At 37.8% G+C, this 18,233-nt stretch overlaps 1 long non-coding RNA gene across 5 annotated transcripts; it reads right to left on the bottom strand.

The window, feature by feature from the left end:
• Positions 1–5,259: 5,259 nt before the first annotated feature.
• Positions 5,260–14,487, bottom strand: LINC02379 (long intergenic non-protein coding RNA 2379). Of its 5 annotated transcripts, none has more exons than NR_183805.1 (4): positions 14,425–14,487; positions 11,145–11,312; positions 7,812–7,917; positions 5,260–6,814 (listed from the first exon to the last, which is right to left on the bottom strand). It is a non-coding gene; the product is annotated as a long intergenic non-protein coding RNA 2379 (long non-coding RNA). The 5 variants fall into 5 exon arrangements; NR_183806.1 differs by having other exon boundaries at positions 11,205–11,312; NR_183804.1 differs by lacking the exon at positions 11,145–11,312.
• Between the last annotated feature and the right edge of the window lie 3,746 nt (positions 14,488–18,233).

Here is an 18,233-nt window from a genome sequence, read left to right as displayed (position 1 = left end):
TTCAGGGTGGCCCTTGGAATCAAGCTAAATACTCTTTTTGTCTTTTAGTTCATATTTACCAATATGAAATTCTACTTAGAATACACTCTCTCTAACAGTGCAAAGTGCTACATCAGATATTGGGCAAAGATAAACAGAACTGCTATTTGAAAGCCTAAAAATCGAAGACAGAAACAGAAAGACAGACAACATATACTAGGATAGAATGTAGACACACCTACACAGGATTAAAAGATAGGGACAGCAAAACATCCCATTTACATGTGAACAGAGCTTAAGAAATGCAGCCTATAGGCCATAAAATTAAAGAGTGGTTTGAAGCACAGAAATACATTAATATCAAAAAAAAAAATAAGAAACTGAGATGAAATCAGAAGAAAATGAAAATTAAGTCGATCTGCTTTATAGATGGCATGACACAGTCAGTCCTTCCCTGGATTGTTTAGCTAGCTGGCTTGAGCATCTTCAGACCTTTGTTTTCTCAAACTTGAAATGTGCTCCCAAGAACAGATTTAGTCTCTGAAGTCTCTGGCACCCACCTTGATCTTGTATATTAAATAAAGGAGCTCTAATTTTTTAGGAAAAATAAAACTTATCTGACTCTAATTTTTTGACCCAGTTCTGCAAAGAGATTTCTACCATATTCCTAGTCCTTGTATTTTCCCCAAGGTGTGGTAGGCACACTCTATTTCTTTGTCTAATGTCAATTATTTATATATCTGGGACACCAGGGCTTTGCCTGCCCCTGTGATTGACACCTGCTAATCAGCAAATCGAATATAAGAACGCTGTCTGTTTCTTCTCTCCCTCTTCTCTTCTCTGTATAATTTTAATATCACATAGTCCTAAATCTCTAGTCAACACTGTGAAAATCCCTTGTTCATCCCTCTCTGATGCCACATTCTGTTGCCAGTTGTTTTAAATGCTCTATCCTGACTGCCAGATCAATTTCTACCTGCAGTTACATCTGTCTTCAAAGACTTGCTCCATTGGAGTATTCATCTGGGTCCAGTATGAGAATGTCATTCCTTCTGAAGATGTACAATATTATGCCACTTAGACAGTATGCATACCTGAGGTCATTTTCCCATTGCCCCCCAAGGAGCAGCCATGTTCCGCTGGCATCACTGTGATTATGAATTGGAAATACTGCAGCTAAAGGAGCTGCCCTCCCACAACACCACAGGAAGAAGCTCTGTGTAGTCACTGTGGAGAGCTACAGCTCCTGCCCCTCTTCCACAGCTTTCCCAATCCACTCTGTCTCCCAAGACACTGCCATCACAGATAACCCTCCATCAGGTTGCTTCTCCCATATTATCTGCAGGCCTCTGTAGGGACTGAGGAGCTGGAAATCTCTATACCTTATATCTTCTTCCACTGATGTCTAGAAAGGGATAGAATATTGATCCAGCTGCTGGGATTGGAGCTATAGATGAAAGGATGTATAGAGGATACAAGTGTTTGAAGGTAACTATGACCTGAATCAGAATTTTAAACATGTTTCCACAGAAGCAATGTTGTAGGCACATTTGTTAATTTATCTACCCATTCTTGTGTACCAAACATGAGCCAGGCACCATAATGAAATAAATGATGATTTGTTTCTTAATTAAAATCATTATTATTTTTCTACTTAGGTTAAATTATAGATTATAGATTTATTGGCCTTGGTGAATAGGAATTCTGATCACCATTATAGTACAGTTTTTAAGAGAAAATTCATTTCAAGTTCCAACAATCAGGCCATAGACTTGCTAGAAAGCATTTGCAAGAACACTCCAACTCACAACTGTGAATTGTGGTAGAGTTATGACCTGCAGTTACCTTCTCGTGCCCATTTGTTGATATCACCAACTGTCATGAGTAGCAAATTTGTTACTTGGGGTTTTGAAGGGCACCACCTGCACAACCGTCTTGCTGCCTACCTGACTCTTATCTTTACTTGAATGATGAAAGTAATGGGTCTAGAGTGTAGATAGTGGTAAAAGTTCCAGGATTTGTTGTTTGTTATTTGTTTGCTTTATTAGCACATCAGCTAATAAAGCTTTTCTACATAGGTTCCTCTTTTTTATTTTTATTTTTTTATTTATTTTGAGACAGAGTCTCTCTCTGTCATCCAGGCTGGAGTGCAGTGGTGCAATCTCCGCTCACTGCAACCTGCGCCTCCGGGTTCAAGCAATTCTCCTACCTCAGCCTTCCAAGTAGCTGGGACTACAGGTGCACACCACTGCACCCAGCTCATTTTTTTGTATTTTTAGTAGAGACGGGGTTTCACCATGTTGGCCAGGCTGGTCTCGAACTCCTGACCTCAGATGATCCACCCACCTTGGGCTCCTCCCAAAGTGCTAGGATTACAGACATGAGCCACCATGCCTGGCCCATAGGTTCCTTTTCTGAGTAACCTGATTTCAGATATAAGACAGAAAAATACAGACACCAGGTCAGTTAGGTAGAACTTAAAGATTACTGTTTTTGCTAGTGTAGACTCAGCTTTAAAACATGACAAGGCAACATTTCCAGCATTTAGGATATTTCGTGATTTAGCCTTAAAGGGAGCACCTGGGAAGGGAACCATCATATTCCCTGCAGAATTAAAATTGACCAAGAGAAAGGGAATAAATATAGTGAGGGCAATCAAAAAAGGGAGCACATCTCAAATGTGTGGTCATGGGCTTCAGATTCTTATTTACACTGGTGCTGGAAAGAGAAGGACAGAGACAGACAGAGAGGCATGACTAGATGTCAACATGGGTTGAATGCATGAATCTCAGAAAAGGGAGTGATCAGCATAAAGTCAGGATGTTCGATAACCGCAGATAGTTTTCCAAATATCTGAACATCATTTGTATCTGTGGATCAGAATGAGCAGCTAAAATTAGGAAAGTATGCCAGAATGAGATTATTTAGTGGCTTTTTTAGGATATCTCTGATGATAAGCTATGCAATGTCATTAAAGAAAAAAATTAGAATTTAAGAATAGAGACAGATAAGAAATTCTTCAGGCCTCAGATCTACTCCAGGATGTACAGTTAAGTGGACAACACAATTTGATGATGAGAGTAGACCACTGTCTGAGTGGTCTCAGAGAGGCAGGCTGGGATGAACTACACTGCTGACTACTCCTCAGCCCATAGTACTTGGTGGAGTCAGCAGCCAGGCTCGAAGCAGTGGTATCATCACCCATTTCCAAAGAGAGCAGCTGAGTTCTTCATCTTCCCTCTAACCAATTTCCCCTGAGATAATTCTACCTAAACAAGCCTCAACAAAGATGATAACATCTGATGTTAGTATGACCAACAATACCATGCAGACCAAACGAAAGAGCAGTAAGAGACCCATGACTTCCAAAGAAAGCATTCCTTTTTTTATTATTTCCTAGAGATGAAAGTACAAAGGTTTAACCTCTTGGGTTGAGTAACCTCCAGCAATATTTAGAGTTTTCCCAGGAGGCAAAATTGCCAGGTAAAAAAGAAAGATATTTATATTATGAGAACAATGTGAATGAAGTAACCTCATTGAAGATTAAAAGGAATATGACTTAATTCTTTACCTCATGCTAGTAAATTGGTTTTGTATGAAGATTTTAGCTTTCATGTCTCTGCTTGGATACATTTCTTTTTCTTTTTTTCACTGCAGGGAGCTGAAACAACAAAGAGGGGGAAGCTGTCTAGAGAGGGAGAAAGAAGACTAATTGAGAATCCAATGTAAGTTCTTGGCTAAGGGCTGGACTATACGTGTATGAAAAGAAACTATATAGTGATTAACTTGAGAGAAGCTGCTGTGGGTTTAAGAAGAGATCTAAGACACTACAGGTAGAACCACACTGGGAGACTTTGGAATTCCAGTCCACACACTTCTAAATACCATAAGCATCCATAAGCACACTCCAGAAAAGTCATGTCTTTGGAGTTAGGACTCTGCGCTAGAGTAAAATCCACTGAAAATGCAACCTTCTAAAGCCTAAAACCAAGCCTCAATGATATCTTTAGATGAATGTCAGGGTTTGGAGATTGAATTCCAACAAATAAAGGAGTCTTGGAAAACAGTCTATCCACAGAGACATGTTAACAAAGTGAAAACAAAAACTTTAAGGTTATCAGTTAGTAATTGCACTCCCTACTAGAATTAAAAGAAAAACTCTTCAGAAGTATGCACCAGAATCAGGAGTGTATATAAGATAATATCCACAAAGTTCAGTGTTAAACCAAATTTACTAGACATTTTTAAAAAAGGAAATATGACCCACAGTTAAGAAAAAAAAATACAATGAATAGAAACTGACCTCAAGATGGCCCAGATATTGGATTTAGCAGATCAGGACTTTTTAAAGCTAATATAAATATTTTCATGGATTTGAAGGAAAATGGGGTTTATCTAAAGCTATAGAGAAGCTTGGTTAGAGAAATGAAAACTATGGGGAAAAAAGAAGCAGAACTGTATGGAAATTCTGAAACTAAAAATTACAATGTCTAAAATGAAAAAAAATTCTGATGGGATTAATAGCAGATTGAGGATGATAGGAAAAAGGGGTCAGCAAACTGAATAATAGAAATTAATCAATATGAAAAAAGGGAAAAAATATAAGATAAATTACCAGAGCCTCAGAGAACTAACAGTCACTGTCAAACAATCTTATGTGTGTAATTAGGATCCCAGAAAAAGAAGACAATAAGAATATGACCAGTAAACATTTGAAGATATAATGGCAATAATTTTTCCAGATTTAATAATAAAAATTTACTATCCACTGATAGATTCAAGAGAACTTAGCTTCAGGCTAAAAATGATCAAGAGAAAATAACGACATTAGCTCAAGAAAAAAATAGATGTAGTACTTACACAGAAAACATGATATGGATTATGGCTAATTTCTCATCTGAAACCATAGAGGCCTAGAGCTATAGAAAGATTTATTTAAAATGCTTAAAAACCAATCTTCCTAGAATTCTATTTCCAATGAAAATATTCTTTAGAAACAAGAATGAAATGAAAACATTCTCAGATAAGTAGTAACTGAAAATATTGCAAGGAGACTTGTGCTAAAAGAAATGCTAAAGAATGTTCATTACACCGACAAGAAATGACATCAGATGGAAACTTGGCTGTATTATTAGGAATGAAGATACTAGAAATGGTTAAAAACAAGGGGCAGGAGAGGGGACAGTAAGCATAAAAGGGTTTTGTTAAATGTCCCAATTTCCCTTAAAAAAATAAAACAGACTGTTTAAAACAAATAAGAAAAATAAAACAAAAATTGTTAAATGTAGTTATATAGTTATAATAAAACTTAAAATATTACAACAGTAGCACAAGAGATGAAAAATAGCATTTCAGTTAGCTCAAGCTGCCATAACAAAACACCATAGATTGGTATAACAGAAATTCATTTTCTCCCAGTTCTGGAGGCTGAGAAGTTTAAGTCAAGGCACCAAATGCTGGCCCATTTTGGTTCTAATGTGGGCTCTCTTCCTGGCTTTTAGACAGATGTCTTCCCTCTGTGTCCTCACACGGCAGAGAGAGAGAATAAAAAGAGACAGCAAGAGTAAGGGTGAGAGAGCCCACATTCCTCTGTTCTCTCCTCTTATAAGGACACTAATCTATGGGATCAGGGCCCTATCTTTATTACCTTATTTAATCTTAACTACCTTTGTGTAGGCCCAATCTCTAAATAGTCACATTTAGGGTAAGGCTTCAGTATATGAATATTTGGGTGGATGCAATTTAGTCCATAGCAGATGGTGAGGGTATCAGTGAAATTGTATTGTTGTAAGGCTTTTACAATTGTGAAGTGTGAAGTGTCAGATACCAAGTTGCAAGTTTACAGCAGAAAATGGTGTAATATTGACTCTACATAATAAAGGAAGAAAATATTTTTTAAAAATTGATAATACAAATATGATACTTTGTCACAATATTAAGGACTACACAAAATCTCTTCATTACACTGATAATCAAAATAGTATGAACAACCAAGAGAAAAGAAATTCATTATGGACCAAAGAACATATTGGTACCCTAATCATTTTTTATCTTTCTAATATTAATGAATTTCTGAATATTGTAGTTGTTACTTTATGTTCTGCAAGATTACCTTTTTATATATACACAATTTAAAACTAAAATAGGATGGGCTTAAATTATCTTTTTCCAGCTAAAGTCAGTATTTGATGAAATTTTAACTAGAGCAGTAAAGCAGCGTAGTCATTATTCAAATCTATACAGACCCACCTTTACAAAACAGCCTCCAGTTTAACGCTAAGCATTCTTTAAAAAGCCTATTTGTTGTTAGACAGAAGGAAGGCTAAAATTCATGTATGACAGGATTGTAAATATTTCTACTCAGAAAATGAAATCAAGATTCAACTCTCTATTTGAGGAAAACATGCCAACTTTAAGAGAAGCTGAAATTTTGCAAGGCCTACTTATTGCTTGTTTCCTAAATGACCTAGAGTAAATAGAAACAGCCTTTTCATGTGGCTGCTGATTAAAGCAAGGTCTGTAAGTTGGCAGTACATCATCTGAAATTTCAAAGTATAAGTGGAAGCCGGGGTTTCTTTTCCTTTCAAAAAATCCCCCTAGTCTTTATACGTGGTCTGAGTAGCTGGCATACAGATATAAAATCGCTGGGCAGTAATCAGGAGTGTACTGGTCCTTATGGCAGGCATCAAGTGGGTTACTGCCAGGTCTTTGAACTACAAAAATAAATAGAGAATAGAAGTGCATTGTATTGGCCAAGCCTGGGGCTCAGTCATCTGTCTTGGAGCATGCTCTGGTGAGAGTGTTTAACTTGGATTCTTTCCATCACATGTGGTAGCTGCAAGAGTGAAAAGAGAGAGGAAAAGAACAATGTTAGGTGGTATATTTAATAGTGTGTTGGCTTAACAATTCTCAGGAAACTGTTACTTCTATTTTCCTCTTAGCAGCCAGAATTTATTCTCTTTGTTGAAGTTCTGAATGAGTGCATGTGTACTTTAGAAAATGTGATTCTACCATCTCCACTACTTTCTATTGTTTTACAAAAGGCTTAAATAGCAAGCATAGAGATTCCCTCCAAACGCTATCTATTAAAGGAAACTCAAAGGACAGTATATTTTTGTATTTAATTTCACCAGCAGCCTTGATATCCCTGAGTCAACTGGTCTCCTTTACCCTGAACCTGAGAAGCTGGAATTTGTGGTAACTGGATGTTTGTTGTTTTTGGCTAAATTATCCTCTTTTCTTTCTTTTCAAGGACAATATAACATAAACTAAAACAATTTTAGGCTCTGGCTGCCTTTTCATTTTTCTAATTTTTCTTCTATAAGAAAAGAGAACCTTCACTAAACCACATTGTACCCATAATAGAAACTTGATTTAAAAAAATACCTGTGACTAGAAAAGGAATGGATTCTTTGTAAAGACAGTGATGCACTCAGCTGTTGTATATTAGAAGAAATTTTGCTTGTTTTCGCAGCAGAATTATTTTGCTTTCTATACTATCAGAAAGAGTACTAGCAAATCACATGAGATTTTTAAGAGATTTTAAAGAAAAAGGCAACACTTTTCACAGTTAAGTTTTTAGTTGCTAGCGTATTTTTTTCTAGATCATGCAGCACACAGTTGTAGCTCTGTGAAACATCAGTAATAATAAAGTAATGAAAATCTGAATTATTTATGAAAATACAACTAAAGAAAATTGTTATAAAATTTTGTTATATGACTTTGGACTACACATTTTTTCATGATTTCTACAATTTTTAAATTTGAGATCTTGTTCAGAAACTAAATATGTCAACGTAATAGTCCATTTAAAAAATTATTGACGTACACACCTGGTAATACGAGCTTTATTCAAAGCAGCTTTATTCAATCTAATTCTTCATAGGAACAATATAATGTATGAGGAGCTACATTTCTGTAAAATCTAAATGGCTTCTTCTGTTAAATAATGAAAAGATTAAAATAAATCTTGAAGATTAATAAATATTCCTTATGAAAATTATTCAATAGCTTATGAGGTTGATATTTTAAAACTAAGCTCAATATTGATCATCTTTTTTCTTGGATAACAGTCTTATTAGAACTGCAAATTTAATTAACTTTTTAAAATATAAAAAGTCAAAGACTGCACACAAAAAAATTTCAGTACAATTTAACATTAAGAGGTTATCAAACAAAGGAAAAACATATATAGCTACAGTTCTTATGCTTTTTGAAACATTTTCATATACTGTTTTCAAATCATATGATATTATAGCAGACTGTATCATTTGCTATCATGTTGCATAATTTTAGTAGTATTTTAATAATGAATTAATTTCTATCACATATTACTTCAAAAATTTCAGTTTTTCTTCTATACTCTGCGTTTGAAACCCATTTTTTTATTTCCCCCAACTAGGTTTGCAGACATTCTTTTCCCTTATTGTCACAAAAGCAGTGATAGAAACAGAGAATGAAAATTAGTGTAATAATAGCAACAATACCTCTATATTTATGTCTTATAAAAACAAGGAAATTATTAGATGCTCCTGAGGCAAAACTCTAATGTAAAAACATTTCCAAAAGCATTGCTTTTGAGGGCTTAACAGACTTATTAAATTTTTTAGGGACACTCGAGATCAACTGACTCAGAAATCGCATATTTTCTGCTTTTTCAGTGTGTTTAAACAGCCAGATTTAATGCTTCCATGTACCCATTGAAAATGTGTGAATACTTTAAATGTTCTTGACCTCAAACAGGCATTTAAACAAACTGTAGGTTGAACCTATTCTAGATAGTAGAAACTTCAGAAGGTTTTGTTCTCCAGGTAAATAAAGCTTCCCACTCAGACATTTTCTTTTTTATTTTCTCTGCCATAGAAGTTGAGCAACTGGCTCATGGACTTACTTTAAAAAATATAATAAGACTAACTCAGGCCAAATAGATTCTGCAAGTGAGTGATGTAGAACGTAGAGAAGAGAAATTATTTGAGAGTGTCTTAATAATCAAGGCATACTGGTGTGAATAAAAGATGTCTCAAACTTCCAACTAAGGCCAAAGAGATTAATTACTAGGTCTTTTTCCAGTGCAGCCATGGGCTTGCCCCTTTGATTGACATTTGATTGACTGGGCTATTCTACAGATCTGTAGGGGCAGAGGCCAACTTGAATATTCTTCTTCTGACAGGTGTGCAATAGTTTCTGTCCTGTGGAAAAGATAATCTCAAACATTATGGTGTATTGCCCTGTTGGACATTAACTGATTTTGTATTTAACCCAACAATCTTGCCTAGACGCTCCTTTATGTTGCTTAAAAATACTTGCACTTGCACTAGTATTCTTCTTTGAACTAGTTTTATTTTACTTCTCAATTAATGAGCTAAGTAAAGATCATTGAAAGATATTCACTTTATGTTTACCTAAGTCATGACTTAACCTTTTGGAAAAGTATAATAAAACATTGGTAAGAGGACAAAAAAATGATTCAGATGTTACAAACTTTAAAGAGCTCAGTGAGGAAAACAGTACTTTTAATCTGTTGTATTAGTTACGAATTCTCCCAAGATTTATGACAATAAAAATTAATTTCATTGTTAAAATATGCAAAGTATTAAATTTAAAACTCCATTTTATTTAGCTAATAAAAATAATCCAACTGTCAAATACTTATTGAACATTTTCTTTCTTGTGATGGTCCTCCTTTAATAACCTGTGCATTGTAGAGACAACATACTGTCATACGAGAGTGCACTATTCTCTAGACCAAACCTTTGACTTTTTTGTTTTTCTATTCCCAGTGTTTTCCATAATGCTTGACTTAGTAGGTGTCTGGTAAATGATACATTTTAGATTTTTAATGTGTATGAGGCATGTTTTTCTGTCTTTGTTAAATAAAATCAAGTCTCTCAAAAGTATTCCATTTATGAGACCTCCCTGGGACCCAAATATGCCCATTTTTTTTCAAGTTCAATGTATTTAAAATGTAAAAATTTTATTCAGTGTACCTATATACATCTTATTTGTAATAATTATTGTGTTTATTTTTTCAAAAATTAAAAAAAGCAAAATGGCATTAGACTACATTAGGAACTAGAGGTGCTACTTGCATGCTGTATGGACAGTTCACTTCTCTTTGTCTCTGTTTATTGAACTCTAAAATGAGGTACGGGAGAGAAAGTATCCTAACGTATCTTCACTGCCTAAGAGTCTATTATCATATGTCAACATCTATAGCAATTTGATCCTACCTAGTGACAGTACCACTGTGGTTGTCAACTCTACAATATTACAGATAAAGTTTAGGAAGAACTTTAAGAACATTAAGTTGGCCAAGTTAAAGATCTGCTGAGTGTATGTGATTAACAGGATGCCTTTTGAAATAAAAAGATACTTCAAAAAATCTTTTTACTTGCAGCATGCTCTATATAATTGAGAAATTGATGTGGAGGGTAGATGGAGCACAGTTTCATAATCTTTTAGCCTACAGATACTAAAGACCACCTTTGGTGTTCTTGGAGAAAGCACGGGGAAATAGAGCAAGGCAGGCACCTTGTTTTTTGTTTTGCTTTGTTTTATGGCTGTGTGTGTGTGAGTATGTGTGTGTGTGCATGTCTGTGAACATGCTCCCCCTGCCAATGATTTTATGAGGCTTCATTCAACATGAAAAGTTTGTGACATGAAGGAAAAATTGTCAAACCTAATATGAAACCTGAGTTGTAGGCTACCTAAATCATAACCAGTGCTAACTCATAAATAGGCCTATCAAAAATATTTCACAGACTGACCAAGTGTAAATATAAGCCTTTGATTGCTGGCATATATGAGCCATGTAGCTGTAAGTCCTACAAAATAACTATTCTATGGCGAGGTTAGGATTCAATATAGCAATATTCTAAGACTTATTTAGCTCTTAGTATGTAAGTTATGCTGCCAGAACTTTTTTTCTAGCTTTATAATGCTGAAAAAATAAATATACATTATTTTACACATTAACAGTAATATGTAGTAATATAAGGTGTGTTATTTACTTATGTTTTTCTTTTTAACTTTTTTCTCCCCTCTGATAAGCTTATTTTTACTGAGTTCCTTGGAAATTCTCCTGATTTAATTTTCAACATTTTTTAGCATTACCTTTTAAAATTAATTCTATTTAATTATTTCACAAAGAATGGGGGCTCATTCACCTCTCTTTATTTTCCTTCCAAACTTAATTCCAGTAGTCCTGTAAGAAACGCCATACTCACTCTTCCCTATCAGGGCTTTATTCCTCTAGGTAAAGATTATCTGCCTTTCATTGTTCTTGAACCATTAAATATAACCGATTTGCCTAAAGGGACGATATACCTCTCCTTCTGTACAGTGAATAAGAGAATTGTTTATGTAAATGGTATACATATGGACAAGTCATACATACACTTCACACCCCAAAGCTATCTAAAATTCAGAAATTTGGATTCAACAAACCTGTAAGCTGAAGGGGAACACCTAACCAAGCTCAAACAACTAGGCTTTCATTGTTTTAGCTCCAATATATACATGGAATTTGTTTTCCCCAAATGTGGCCCAAGTTTTCTATAAACTTATTGAAGAAATTCTTGTTGAACCAGTATATAGAGAGCTATCTGAGCTCCCTAACCCCCAACATGTAATTTGATTCTCATTTATAAATCCCTAGGTATGTATTATGTAGGGAACAATAAGAGATGAGCCGTTTCATATTACCCCTCCCATAAATATTCCCTTTAATCATTTTTATACCTCATACACATTTCTCCTGCATAATAAATTTTAATTGATTTTCACAGTCTTAGAACACATTTATATTTTGCATCTAGAGAACAATAAAAAGATAAATTATTAACAATATCCATGGAGTTGTACAGATAATTATTTTAAACTTGAGACCACGTTGCTGTTATTCTCAGACACCTGGGAAAAATGCATTTCTACCAGCCAATTTGCTTAACCCAAAACAAGATAAAACACTGCTTTGAGGCTAATTCCTATAACTTTCTTTTAAAAATAAACTTAGTTATGGAATTTGTAGAATATTTATAGTATAGTTTGGTCATTTTCTTAAATGAGCCTTGATATCTGTGATAGTTAATATAAGATGTGAACGTGACTGGATTTGAGGAATGCCTAAACGGCTGGTGAACCATTTTTTCTGGGTGTGTCTGTGAGAGTGTTGCTAGAGGAGTCAGTGGACTGGGAGAGGAAGACCCACCCTCAATGTGGGCAGTCTCCATCCAACGGTTGCCAGTGGGGCTAGAACAAAGCCGGCAAAAGAAGGGAGATAAACAGTTGGCTCAGTTTTCTGATTCTCTCTTCTTCCTGTGCCAGACACTTGCTTCCTCTGTTCCTGCCCTTGGACATCAGACTCTAGGTTCTTTGGACTTTGGACTCCAGGGCTTGTACCTGCAACCGCCTGGAGGAGGCTCTCAGGCTTTTGGGCTCAGACTGAGGGCTGCACTGTTGGCTTCCCTGGTTTTGAGGCTTTTGGACTTTGACTGAACCACACTACAGGCTATTCCCAGCTTGCTGACAGCCTATCAGGAGATTTCACCTAGTAATCATGTGAGCCACTTAGCCCTAATAAAATCCCTTGTATATATGCATATAACCTATTGGTTCTGCCCCTCTGGAGAACCCTCATACAGGTTTTGGTACCAGGAGTGATTTTAAACGAACGGAATTTTAAGGATGAATTTCCTTAGTTGGTTTTGGGTTTCTGAAGTTGCTTCTCTAATGTGATTAGTCTTAAAAATGCTAAAAACTCTACTTCTAATAGTAGGGAGAGCACCAATAGTAAAAATAAATGCATTTGATATGCTGATTCACTATTCCCGAGAGACAAGGAGTTTAGTTATTCTATAAAGGATACCTTTGAACATTTGTGGAGAACCAAAGAATATAATGAAGTTGGTTGATTGCTCCTACGTTTACTGGACAAAGTGGTGAAAAAAAGGGATGAGTTCAGGGATTCTAGCTCCTGGCTCCAGAAGCACATACATAACCTAAAAGTTTCCAAGTGTGCCCTGGGTGAAAATCTTCTCTTCAGTAGACAAAGGGCTGAAATTGCTGAAAATCAAACACAGGCTTTTATTATGCCAGTGGCTAACCTACAAGAAAAGGTGCACTCTTAGCCTCACGAGGTGTCTACTGTTAAAGTGAGGGCATTGATTAGGAAAGAATAAAACCCTGTAAGTTAGAATCAGAACATGTGGGAGGACGCTGATGAAGTGGGGGACACTGAGTTCCTAAATTCTGATGAGCCTGTTTTGCCAGAGGAAGTGGTCTCCCCACCTCCCCTCCTTGGTAGCAAAATCTCCCCTACCCACAGTAGTATGAGCCTTTCAGCCTTTGTCTGAGGAGATTAACCCTGCATTGCCTGAGGAAACAATGATGGCCTTCCTTAAGGCAGTTGCCAGGCAAAACAACACTGATTCTCCTCAGGACCCATCCCCAGGACCCCACTGTGCTTCTAGACCTGTAACTAGATTCAAGTCCTGGCATGCCCCTAGAGGTGAGGTACAGAGTGTGACCCACTAGAAGGTGTAACTACACTCCCAAAGAACTACTTAAGTTTTCTAATGTATATAAGCAGAAATCCAGGAGACAGCTATGGGAAAGGATAGTAAGGGTATGGGATAGTGGAGGTAGGAACATAAAGTTGGGTCAGGCTGAATTTAGTGATAAAGGACCACTAAGAAGAGATTCTGCATTTAATGTTGCAACATGAGGAATCGAAAAAGACCCAGTAGTTCATTTACTTGGTTAATTGAAGCATGGATCAAAATATAGCCCACTGTGAGCAAGCTGGAAAGGACTGATCTCCCTTGATTTAATGTAGAGGAAGGCCTCCAAAGGCTTAGAGAGATTGGAATGCTAGAATGGATTTGTCACTTAAAAGACCTACTCAACTCAACTGGGAGGGTTCAGAATACACACCGTTCACCAATACTTTGTGAAATACATTTGTGAGGGGAGCACCAGTATCCTTGAAGAGTTGTGTGCTCTCTTGTATGCCTGATTTTAGAGTGGGAACTGCAGTCACTCAATTGGAAAACCTAAATGCAATGAGAATAATTGGATCCTAAGGTGACAGAGGCCAAGTGGAGGCACTCAAACATCAAAGGTAAGGTGGGCACAATTACTGTAATGGACAGCCGAGGCAAAGCAACAATCAGAATACTCTTGTAAAAAGCAAAGTAGAGGTTCCTCTTCAAAGACTTTCCCCTCCATTTAATTAGGAATAAGTAGTAACTTCTCTTAGGAGCAAAATTTATTCAAAGAACTATGCTAACATTTTTCAATATCTGCTAGCCGTGATAAAGAAATCAATGTACTTTCGTTCTTAGCTCCTGCAATTTAGCCTGAATATTTGCCCTGGCATGCTTATACTGGTCCAAGCAAGCATTAGGCCATAGCCTGTTCCTCTTCCTTATTTAAAGGTGTTTTTACCTTTCTCAGCATTCCACAAGTTACTTCCTCCTTCCTTTTTTCTCCTCTGCCTTTGCCTCTTTTAAAAAGTTCTAAGTTGCTAGGCAATCGGGACTAAATACAGAATGTGAGGTCCCATTCCAGCCAATGGAAACTGGACACAGCAGTAGGGTGGACGCATCAGGTTATAAATGACTCCGTCCCCTTTGCTTGGTGTACTCTCATGGCAAAACTGCTGGCGAGTGTACTCTTTCTGCAGGAAGTAAAAATGGCCTTGCTGAGTAAATTAAATTTATGTTCAAGTGCTGTTTCTTTACGGCACCGGGAAACAAGCATTTCAAACACTCTGACTAGTGTAGAGCTCTGGAATGGCTAATTCATCATGGTGTTCCTAGAAGTGAAATAGGCAGGAAGCCTCATACATTCTTATTTGATCCCTATAAGCAGAAAACTTCCAGTAAGTGAACAGAAGTCTAACTGGAATTACAAAAACAGAGAATCATGACCCCTCAATCAATTTCCAGACTTGAGGTAGTTTACAGACCCAGAACCCCTTGAATGAAGGGGAGGCTGAGTCCTCTTGAGGAAGGGCTTCACTATATTACCAAAAGTTTTTGCTGTTAATCTGTCTTCAGTCCTTCCTCAAGGGACCTCCAGCCTTTTACTAGTGTAACTGTGCATTGGTGAAAGGGAAATAATTAGACCTTTCAGGGACTACTGGACACTGTCTGTGAACTGACATTCATTCCGTGGGACCTAAAATGTCATTGTGGTGGTTAGAGTAGAGGGCTTATGGAGGTCAGGTAATTAATGGAGTTTTAGCTCAGGTCTGACTTACAGTGGATCCATTAGGTTCCTGAACCCATCCGCCATTTCTTCTGTGCCAGAATGCATAATTGGAATAGACGTACTTAGCAACTGGGAGAATCCCCACATTAGTTCCCTGACCTATGGGGTGAGGGCTATTATAATGGGATATGCCAAATTGAAGCTGTTATAACTTCCTCTACCTAGGAAAATAGTAAATAAAAAACAATATTGCATCCCTGAAGGGGTTGCAAAGATTAGTGCCAGCATCAAGGACTTGAAAGATGCAGGGGTGGTGATCCTCACCACATCCCTGTTCAACTCTCCTATTTGGCCTATTCAGAAGACAGAAGGATCTTAACAAATGACAGTGTTAATCAAATGGTGACACCAATTGCAGCCACTGTACCAGATGTGGTTTCATTGCTTGAGCAAATGAACACATCTCCTGGTACCTGGTATGCATCTATTGATCTGGCAAGTGCCTTTTTCTCCATTCCTGTCCATAAGGCCCACCAGAAGCAATTTGCCTTCAGCTGGCAATGCCAGCAATATACCTTCACTGTCTTACCTCAGACATATATCAACTCTTTTGTTATACTCTTGTTCACAGAGATCTTTGTCACTTTTCCTTTTCATAATATATCACACTGTTCCATTACATTGATGACATTCTGATTGGGCCTAGTAAGAGAGAAGTGGCAACTACTCTTGATTTACTGGTGCAAGATTTGAATGTCAGGGGTAGGAAATAAATCGGAACTAAATTCAGAGGCCTTATACCTCAGTGAAATTTCTAGGTGTCCAGTGGTACGGGGCCTGTCTAGATATTTCTTCTAAGATGAAGTATAAGTTCTTGCTTCTGGCACTCCTACAACCAAGAAAGAGGCACAATGCCTAGTGGGCCTATTTGGATTTTAAAGGCAACACATCTTCATTTGAAGGTATTACACCAGACCATTTATCCAGTGATCCATAAAGCTGCTTGTTTTGAATGGGGCCCAAAACAAGAGAAGGCTCTGCAACAGGTCTAGGCTGCTGTACAAGCTGCCCTGCCACTTGGTTCATATGATCCAGCAGATCCAATAGTGTTTAAGGTGTCAGTGCCAGATGGGAATGCTGATTGGAGCCTTTGCCAGGCCCCCATAGGTTAATCACAGTGAAGACCTTTAGGATTTTGAATCAAGGCCTGACAATCTTCTGCAGGTAGCTACTCTTCTTTTGAGAGATAGCTCTTGGCCTGCTATTGGGCCTTGGTGAAAACTGAATGTTTGGCTATGGGTCACCAAGTTACCATGTGACCTGAGCTGCCTATCAAAACTGGGTGTTTTCTGACCCATCTAGCCATAAAGTTGGGCATGCACAGCAGCCTTTCATCATCAAATTAAAAGTGGTATATACCTTATCAATCTTGAGCGTGTCCTAAAGGCAAGAGTAAGTTATATGAGGAAGTGGCCCAAATACCCGTAGTCCCAAATCCTTCTGCCCTGCCTTCTCTATTCTAACCTGTACCTCTGGCCTCTTGGGGAGTTCCTTATCATCATTTGACAGGAAAAGAGAAGACTAGGGCCTGGTTTACAGATGGTTCTGCATGATAGGCAGGCACCTCCCCAAAGTGGACAGCTGCAGCACTACAGACCATTTCTGGGACACCCCTGAAGGACAGAAGTAAACGGAAATCTTTCCAGTGTGCAGAACTGCAAGCAGTGTACCTGGTTGTGCACTTTGCTTGGAAGGAGATATAGCCAGACGTGCAATTATATACTGACTCATGGGTGGTAGCCAGTGGTCTGGCTGGATGGTCAGGGACTTGGAAGGAGCATGATTGGAAAATCAGTGACAAATTTAGGGAAGAGCTATGTGGATGAACCTGTCTAAGTGTTTAAAGAATGTAAGTATATTTGTCTTCCTTGTGAATGTTCACCAAAGGTGACCTCAGTAGTGGAGATTTTTAATAATCAAGTGGATAGGATGACCCATTCTGTGGACACCACTCAGCCCCTTTCCCCAGCCACCCTTGTCATCACTCAATGGACTCATGAAAAAGTGGCCATGGTGTCAGGGATGGAGCTTATGCATGGGGTCGGTAAAGTGGACTTCCACTCACCAAGGCTGACTTGGCTACAGCAATTGCTGAGTTTCCAATCTGTCAGCAGCAAACAACACTGAGCCTCAATATGGCACCATTCCTCATGGTGATCAGCCAACTACCTGGTGGAAGATTTATTACTTTGGGCCTCTTCCATCATGGAAAGGGCAGTGGTTTGTTCTTACTGGAATAGACATTTTCTCCAGATGTGCATTTGTCTTTCCTGCCCACATTACATTTTCCAAGACTGCCATCTGTGAACTCACAGAATGCCTTATCTACTGTCATGGTATCCCACACAGTGTTGCTTCTGACCAAAGAACTCACTTCACAACCAAGGAAGTGCGGCAGTGGGCTCATGCCCATGGCATTCACTTGTCTTACCATGTCCCCTGTCAACCTGAAGCAGCTGGTTTGATAAAACAATTGAATGGCCTTTCGAAGTCACAATTACAACACCAACTAGGTGATAACAGTTTTCAGGTCTGGGGCCAAGTTCTCCAGATGACTGTATATGCTCCAAATCAGCACCCAATATATGGCACTATTTTCTCTCATTGCCAGGATTCACAGATCCGGGAATCAAAAGGGTGGAAGTAGAAGTGGTATCACTTATCACTCACCATCACCTCTAGTGACCCATTAGCAAAATTTTTGCTTTCTGTTCCCTCAACGTTATGTTCTGCTGGCCTAGAGGTCTGAGTTCCAGAAGGAAGAATGCAGCCACCAGGAGACACAACAGTGACTCCATTGAACTGGAAATTAAAATTGCCATGTGGCCACTTTGGACTCATGTCTCTAAGTCAACAGGCTAAGAATGGAGTTAGTGTTGGCTGGACTGATTGACCTGATTTCAAAATGAAATCAGACTACTGCTCCACAATGGAGGTAAGGAATCATATGTTTGGAATTCAGGAGATACCTTAGGGCTTCC

The sequence above is a fragment of the Homo sapiens genome, chromosome 4 (assembly GCF_000001405.40).
Source record: "Homo sapiens chromosome 4, GRCh38.p14 Primary Assembly".
Lineage (NCBI taxonomy): Eukaryota > Metazoa > Chordata > Mammalia > Primates > Hominidae > Homo > Homo sapiens.
The sequence above is the reverse complement of the archived record's forward strand: the minus strand, read 5'-3'. Positions and strand labels throughout refer to the sequence as shown.